The sequence below is a fragment of the Homo sapiens genome, chromosome 7 (assembly GCF_000001405.40).
Source record: "Homo sapiens chromosome 7, GRCh38.p14 Primary Assembly".
NCBI classification, from domain to species: domain Eukaryota; kingdom Metazoa; phylum Chordata; class Mammalia; order Primates; family Hominidae; genus Homo; species Homo sapiens.
In genome coordinates, this window is record NC_000007.14 from 106,442,702 (window position 1) to 106,451,403 (window position 8,702).

Here is an 8,702-nt window from a genome sequence, read left to right on the forward strand (position 1 = left end):
GTTCAACTTAAGTGCCAACTTACTTAAGTAATTTTGGAAATAAATGGAGTCTGTAAGACTAAAAACAAAAAGAATTGCACATAAGCACTGTATTCTGCTTGATAAAGTTATTGCCATGGGTTAACAATTCGGATACTGTCATGCATGTATACTGGAATTGGACAATTAAGCAATTGGATGGTGGATGGTAGGAGCCAAGTTTTTCACTGTTGAGAAATTTGAGATTGGAAATTTAGAGATAAGCAAGGGTGGAGGCTAAAATTATCTTTGTGGTAATTTATTAGAGTTGGAGATAGTAGCATAAATTCATATTAAACTTAACGTAGATACAGATGTTACATATGAAAATATTGATATGTATATATACATGAGTTAGCATATAATCAGGAATAATTTGAGCAACAAAATAAAATAATAGTGGATTATAACCCAAAGAATAAATACCCATGAGTCCCCATATATATAGACTATTGAATAAATAAATAAATGAGGGAGAAGAGAAAAATCTTCTGTGCAAAAGAATTCCAAATAACTTATGCAAATATTACACCCTCAAGGAGGTGGCTCATAACTCTTCACTCTAAATGTGGGCTTCACAGAGCGACTTCATTCCAGAGACTACAGTATGAGGAAGGTGAGAAAGGAGTAACTTTACAGTGGAGAAACCTGACAAACTACCTCAGACAAACAGGGCCAATGTCAACCATAAGTCATGTCAATAGTACGTATTCTTGATACAGTGTGATAGGAACGGCACTTCACCTCTGCAAGATTCCTCTCCAAAACCCCTATCCCTACTATAATCACGAGAAAAATATCAGACAAAGCCCTATTTAGGGACATTCTACAAAATACGTGATCAGTACTTCTCAAAGCCTCCAAGTTCATCAAAAACAAAGAAACTCTGAGAAACTGTCATAGGCAAGAGGAGCCGAAGGAGACATGATGACTAAATGTAATGTGGTGTCCTAGATGGGAACAGAAAAAGGATGTTAGTAAAAACTAAGGAAATCTGAATAAAGTATGGACTTCAGTTAATAATGTATTTATATTGCTTCATTCATTATAATAAATGCACCATACCAATGTAGATGTTAATAGTGGGGAAACTGGGTATGGGGTATATGAGAAATTGCTGTACTAACTTTCTTTGCTATAGATCTAGAACTATTCTAAAATATAAAGTTTATTTTAAAAAAGAAATAGAGGGGAAACAGATTTAAAAAGGCATAAGAGATAGCAACTGAATTGAAATGTGTAGACCTTGTTTGGATCCTGATTCAAGCAAACTGTTTTTAAACACATTTATGCAAACAAAACATAACAAAATAAAATCATTTATAAAAGAATTGGAAATTTGAATACTAATATTTAATGATATCAAGAAATTTATTGTTACTTTCTAAGGTAGAATTATGGTTATTTTTAAAATAGAATATTTATATTTTTGAGATAAATAGTGAGATATTTGCAGAAGAAATGATATGTCTGGAATTTGCTTCAAAATGACTAAGGCAAGGGGTTACTGAGGGTATTGCTGAAACAAGGTTAGTCATAAACTGATAGTTTTTGAATATGGATGATGGTTACAGGGGTCAACCAAACTATTCTGTCTAGTTTTGTAAAAGTTTAAAAATGTTCATTGCCAAAAAAAATTGAGAAAGAGAGAAATTTGAGCAACTGCAATTCCAAGAGAAACATGTAACACCTTCTGAGGATATCAATCTCCTGGCTCCCTCCTTGATCCATCTAATATAAGGTTTCTCTGATTTCAAACGCTACTCCCCAAGATCACAGTTGCATAGCCACACCCTTGATGCCCAGGGCTGCCTCCAATTTCCACATTTTGTATAATAGAAATTCAAGAAGTGGCTTGCCAGAGGAAATAGGGCAGCCTTTGCCAGCATTCTAAGAAAGATCTGGAAATCTCCATATGCATTATGGGGCTAACAGAAGCAGATACTTGATTAATTAAAGCTCATCCTAGAGTTTTCAATGCCAATATGGCCTTGCAGCTCCATAGAATCTAGTTCACAAAAAGCGCCTTTGTCAAAGGTGACATAAATCCATCTCCATGCCTTACTGCCAGCAACATATAGAGGTATACTTTTACTGGTAAAGAAAGAGGGAGAGACAATGAGAAGGAGAGAGGAAATCAGAGGGAAGGAAAAGAAAAGAATGAGAGGGAGAGAATAATTTTCATATTTTATCCTTGCAGATCAGAGTCAAATGAGTATGAACAAACTAATCATTAGCAAATGGACACCTCCAACAAGTTCAAAGGAATTGTGAAAGTTAATTAAGGGCTTAAGTGCAGTGCTCATGTAGTTGCTGAGATCATGAAAGTACTAAAAGAACGCTTTCTTAAATTCTTTTTAAATGTATTGAGATGTAATTTAGTTACAGTACAACTCATTCTTTTCATGTACAGTTGTTTTTTAAATTTTTAATTTCTGTGGGTACACAGTAGGTGTATATATTAATGGGGTACATGAGATATTTTGATACACACATGCAATGCATAGTAATCACATCAGGGCAAATGGGGAATACATCACCTCAAGCATTTATTCTTTTTGTTACAAAACAATCCAATTATACTCTTTTAGTTATTTTAAAATGTACAATTAAGTATTGGCTATAGTCTTTCTGTTGTGCTGTCAAATACTAATTCTTATTCATTCTTTCTAACTATCCTTTTGTATTAACCATCCTCACTTCCATCCCACTTCCCTACTCCCCTTCCCAAACTCTGGTAACCAACATTCCCTTCCCATTAACCATCCTCACTTCCATCCCACTTCCCTACTCCCCTTCCCAAACTCTGGTAACCAACATTCCCTTCCCATTAACCATCCTCACTTCCTCCCACTTCTCTATTCCCCTTCCCAGCCCCTGGTAACCATCCTTCTACCATCTATCTCCAGTTCAATTGTTTTAAATTTTAGCTCCCACAAAAGAGTGAGAACATGAGACATTTGTCTTTCTGTGCCTGGCTTATTTCACTTAACACAATGACCTCCAGTTTCACCCATTTTGTTGCAAATGACAGGATCTCATTATTTTTTATGGCTGAATAATATTCCATTGTGCATATATATCACATTTTCCTTATCCATTCATCTGTTGATGGACACTTAAATGTGTATGTATAGTTCTGAATTTGGACACTTGCATCCAGTTGTGTAACCATCACCACAATTAAGATACAGAATGGGTCTATCTTCCCCTAAAATTTCCTTGGGCCTTGTTATAGTGAACCCCTTCCCCACCCACCAACCCATGGTAACCATTGACCTATTTGTTTTCTTCCTTTTCTAAAATGTCACAAAGCAAGTAGCCTTTTGAGTCTGGTTCTGTTCACTTAACCATAATATATTTGGGATTCAATTATGTTGTTACTTGTATCAGTAGTTCATTCCTTTTTATTATAGAATAGTATTTCATAGTTTATCCATTTACCATTTGAGACTTAGATTGTTTTCAGTTTGTGATAATTATGAATAAAATCAATATGATGGAGATATAGTTAGACATATAGATGCCCAATTGTTCCAGCACAATTTGTTGAAAATACTTTTGTCTCCATTGAATTACTTTGCCACATTTCTCAAAAATTAATTGACTATATATGTAAGGGCCTGTTTCTGGACCTTCTACTCTGCTCCATTGAACTATCGGTGTATTGTTAAGCAAACGCCTCACTGTCTTCATTACTGTAGCTTCATAGTTAAGTCTTGAAATCAGGTTTTGTGAGCCCTCCAACTTTGCACTTCTTTTTCAAAATTGCTTGTCTATTCTAGAACTATTGGCTTTCTGTATAAATTTTATAATCAATCTATGAATATATACAAAAAAGCCTGCTTGGATTTTTATTAGTATTGCATTGTATCTATAAATCAATTTTGGAAAAATTAACATTTTTGACAGCATTTTAGCAGTTCTCTATCCCATGAACACAGGATATCTCTCCATTTATTTAGTTCTTTTTCCTCTCAGCAAGGTTTTATAGTTATGATGCATATAATTGGAAATTGAATTAAAAATCACAACCATTTACAAAAGCATCAAAAAAACAAAGCGTTTAGCAATAAATTTAGTAAACTATATGCGATTTTTAATTCAATTTCCAATTGTTCACTGCTTGTATAGAAATATGCAATTAATTACCTGGGTGTGGTGGCTCATGCCTGTAATCCCAGCACTTTGGGAGGCCGAGGCAGGCGGATCATCTGAGGTCAGGAGTTCAAGACCAGCTTGGCCAACATGGTGAAACCCTGCCTCTACCAAAATAATACAAAAATTAGGCAGGTGACTGTAATCCCAGCTACTTGGGAGTCTGAGGCAGGAGAATTGCTTGAACCTGGGAGGTGGAGGTTGCAGTAAGCTAAGATTGCACCATTGCACTCCAGCCTGGGCAACAAGAGCAAGACTGTCTCAAAAGGAAAAGAAAAGAAAAGAAAAGAAAAGAAAAGAAAAGAAAAGAAAAGAAAAGAAAAGAAAAGAAGACTGTTTCATTGGTGAAACTTTAGTACTTAAGCTTTGGCTAGAATCTTGCTCTTATATGAATTAAGAATTTAAGAATTTGGTGAACACTGTAGCCTAACTCTCTTTGTGAGGGACATTCCTGGGCTAGGACTCCCTTTGGGTTTGTATTTTATCACTTAACGGAGAGATCTGTCTCCTGATTCAACTAAAAGTCTAACATATTCTCCTGACACTAAAATGCTGTTACATCTATTTTGAGTGAACCTTTCATGCAATGCACTTGTCAAGTACCCAAAGATTAGAGAGCTGGAAGTGTTTACCAGGAAAGGTGTGGCCATGGTTGTCCTGCCTTGTAAGACAGGCTTGTCTGTGAGGCCAAACTCCCCCCTGCACTTTCATCATAGCCCAATAGTGAGTTTGGGGAAGAAGGGACCTAGAATTCCGATTCACCTCTAAGCACTCCGTGTGTATAATCTAAGCCCAATCACCTTAGATCAGTTATCAACACTTCCCTTCCCTCAGAAACCTTCAAATTCACAATACTGTCCCAGCCAAATTCTGCCTGAATGGTTGGTCCCATTACCAGCCTTTCCTAGACAGAGCTTTGTGGCCTTTCAGTCCCCAGGCACTCCATTTCCAGCTCACACCAACTCAGCTTCTGTGGGTATCTTAAGATCTCAGAATGTTACAGCTATCAGTTTAGTTGCTTCTCATTCTCAGATTATTTCATATGTGCTAATCTGGCCTCCCCAACTAGATGACAAGCTTTTAGAGGATCAACATTCCCCCAGTCCCTCCTTTCCTTCCATATTTTAAATACTTACTGATCTGGCACTACCCCTTGCACTGGGATGCATAGTACTGGTGAAGAAAGCAGACACAGTTTCTGCCTAACAGAATGCCCAGTTGAGTTGGGGAAAACAGAAAAGAAAATGGGCAATTACAATAGACCATTATAAGTAGTAGAAATTCATCCATGCATATATTCACTCACTCATTTGCCCATACCATAAATGTATGTTGAGTTTCCACTATGTTGGCCATTGAGGGTCACAACTACTCAAGATGGACCCAGTCCTTATGGATCATAGTCCAGGAAAGAGGAAACACCGGATAGGAGAGCTCAAGGTGGATCAACTGTGATGTGGATGAGAAGCCTTGCAGGAGGGGTAAGGTTGATGCTGAGTAACTCATAGCTGCTGGGAATCTGCAGCTCCCCCTTCTCTTTATATAGCTCAGATTCATGCTTTATTACTGGAGAAAAATAAAACCAAGAAACAAATGACACAGCATTAGCATAGATGTCATGTTGCATCCATAGTAAGAGGCACCTCCCTCTCCAGGCTGGAGTCCCCCCAGGAAGCAGCTTCTGATGTCAGAAATCCCCAGGGAATTGGCCACCTTGGTGAGGGGCAAGATCCAAGTTTTCCCTTGAATAGCTGGGTGTTATTTTTTTCCTGGAACCTGCTAAGAAGCTGCAAACTACATTCATATTTAACTCCTGGGGACCCCTTTCTCTCTGAAGAACCTATTGGACAAAACATATTTCTCAGTGGGGATGAACTAACACTGAAAAATGTTACAAGACCAGTGGATTACCTCCCCCCCGAGTCCCCTACCACTATTGTTAAAATAAAAACCTTAGGCAAATTAAATTTAACATCATTTAATTGAGCAAAGAACAATTCACAAATTGGGCAATCCCCAGATGAGAATAGTTCAGAGAGGTTCTGGGGGTGCCACATGGTGGAAGAAGATCTATGGACAGAAAAAGGAAACTGAAATACAGAAAAAACAGCCAGATTGGTTACAGCTCAGCATTTGCCTTATTTGAACCTGTTTGAACAGTTGGCTGCCTGTGATTGGCAGAAACTTAGTGACTGGCACAAGAGCAGGTTACAGTCTGTTTGCACATCCAGTTGGGTTCAGTTCACTGTGTACAGAGAAACCTTTAGGCCAAACGTAAAATATGTAAGAAGGCAGCTTTAGGCTAAACTTAATCTAACACTATTTTGCAGCCAAGTGGCTCCATGCTCCTGTCATGTTATAAGGTGGGGGAGGAATACAGGGTGAACAACGCCTGTATTCAGGTCCTAGCCCTGACCACTGGCCACCCAGAGGCTAGGAGCTCTGCTCAGCCTTCTACCCAGCTTCTTCTCCCTCAGTAATCTGGCTGTTCCCAGAACCAGGTAAGAATTCTGCTGTGTGAGGATGAATCGGCAGAATTTTGCCAAAGACTGAAGTGGAAGGAACCGCCCATGCCACTTCTGTGTTATGCCTGGGGAGCCAGGGACTCATCTCCCCACTTGGCCGACTCTCAAGGTCCTTGGAGCTCTTTGCCTGTGGATTCCCTTCTGGAGGGGCTGAGTATGAAGGCTCCATCCCAAAGTACCTTGATCCAAACCATCTTTCATCTCTGTCTTAACTGTAGGCACTGCTCAGGAGAAAGGGTGGGGCAAGCTCTTTATCTAGAGGAAATGAGTTGTATCACCAATTTGACATCTACAAACCTACTCATAAAATGACGGGCATGGTAACATGTAACTACCCAACACCGAATGAACAAATGGATACCCTACTTACATTTTCCATAGAATAAAAATGAATTTCTAGAGGTGGTGACACTTATTTAGAGAAGGTGAAGTTAGCTTGAGGATACAGTACAGTGGCCTGGTTTTACATGTCATTTCTCTCTCTGTGGCTGATCTTACATAACTTAACACAAAGTCTTTGTGCTTCCACAGTTTAGTAATTCATCTTCTGTTTTTGCTTTACTTAGAATACATTTGGAAGAGCAATGAAAGCCACTGACAATCCTAGCATCTCACTGGAGACCATAATTTCAATCTTCTCTCATCAAGGTGGACTATCAAGTAGATATTTTAATTCCATCTCCTTTATTTTATTTTATTTTCCATTTCCTCCTGGTGGTGGTACTAGCAAGCCAATAAATTATGCTCTTAAAAATACATAATAAAAATAAAACCACCATCTATTGGTATGACACTGAATACTTAATAGAGTACTTTTAAAAACGTGTTTCTCATGTTGGGCCTTGCAACTTCCCCACTGTGGTAAGCAAGGCAAGCATTACCTCCATTTTTCAGATGATGACACCAAGGTTCAGAGATGTTGCATCTCTTGGCCAAAGTCACACAAGTTGAAAGTGGCAGAGTTAGGTATCAAATAGTTTTACTCCATGCTCCAGATATGTTTTGTTAAAATGAACAACAAAAATGAAAAACTGAGTGCCTGGATTATTCACAGTGAGATCATTAACCCACTAAAGAGGTTAATAGTTTGTTCATTTTTAGTTTTTGATGTTTACTTCTATTAAAATCACAATGGTAAGTAACCATTTGTATTTGTCCAACCAAAGACTTTCCACACCCAAAGCCATTGTTTCCCATGCATTCCCTTACAGCCTTGTGGGTGACTGGCCTGTGCACCAGTGAGACACTATAGCTCCTCTCTTGATGTTTTCTAATCATTTATTTGGAAAATAATATCCTACGAACCATTCATTCCATTCCCTGAACATTCAAAAAGATTACATTTAATGGGAAAGACAGACATGTACCTGCTCCGTGGGTTCACCTTGTCCACTGTCTAGACAGAGTCAATTTATCAAGACAGGAGAATTACAGTAGAGAAGGAGTAATTCGCCCTGAGCCAACTGTGCAGGAAACAGGAGGTTTATTATAACTCAAATAAGTCTCCCTGGGCATTTGGGTTTCATAATTTTTATGGATAATTTGGTGGTGAGTTGGGATATGGGGAGACAGTGAGTCAAGAGTGCTGAATGTTTGGGTGGGAGATGAAATCAAAAGGAGTGAAAGCTGTCTTGCACTAAGTCAGTTCCTGGGTAGGGGCCACAAGGTCAGACGAGCCAGTTTATCCATCTGGGTGGTGCCAGCTGATCCATCAAGTGCAGGGTCTGAAAAATATCTCAAGCACTGATCTTAGGCTTTACAATGGTGATGTTATCCCCAGGAGCAATTTGGGGAGGATAATTTCTAATCTTTTGGCTAATTTGTTAGTCCTACAAAGGCAGTCTAGTCCCCAGGAAAGAAGGGAGTTTGTTTTGGGAAAGGTCTTTCATCATCTTTGTTTTAAACTATAAACTAAGTTCCTCCCAAAGTTAATTTAGCCTACACCCGGGAATAAACAAGGCCAGCTTGGAGGTTGAAGCAAGATGGAGTTGGTTAGGTCAG

The 8,702-nt window shown here is 38.5% G+C and overlaps 1 annotated feature.

The window, feature by feature from the left end:
• Positions 6,199-7,398: an enhancer, noted in NCBI's record as "MED14-independent group 3 enhancer chr7:106089346-106090545 (GRCh37/hg19 assembly coordinates)". NCBI's record gives its function as "activates an origin of replication core promoter dependent on BRD2, BRD4, P300/CBP and CDK7 cofactors, and independent of MED14, by STARR-seq in HCT116 cells {active_cell/tissue: HCT116}" and the evidence as "EXISTENCE:reporter gene assay evidence [ECO:0000049][PMID:35650434]".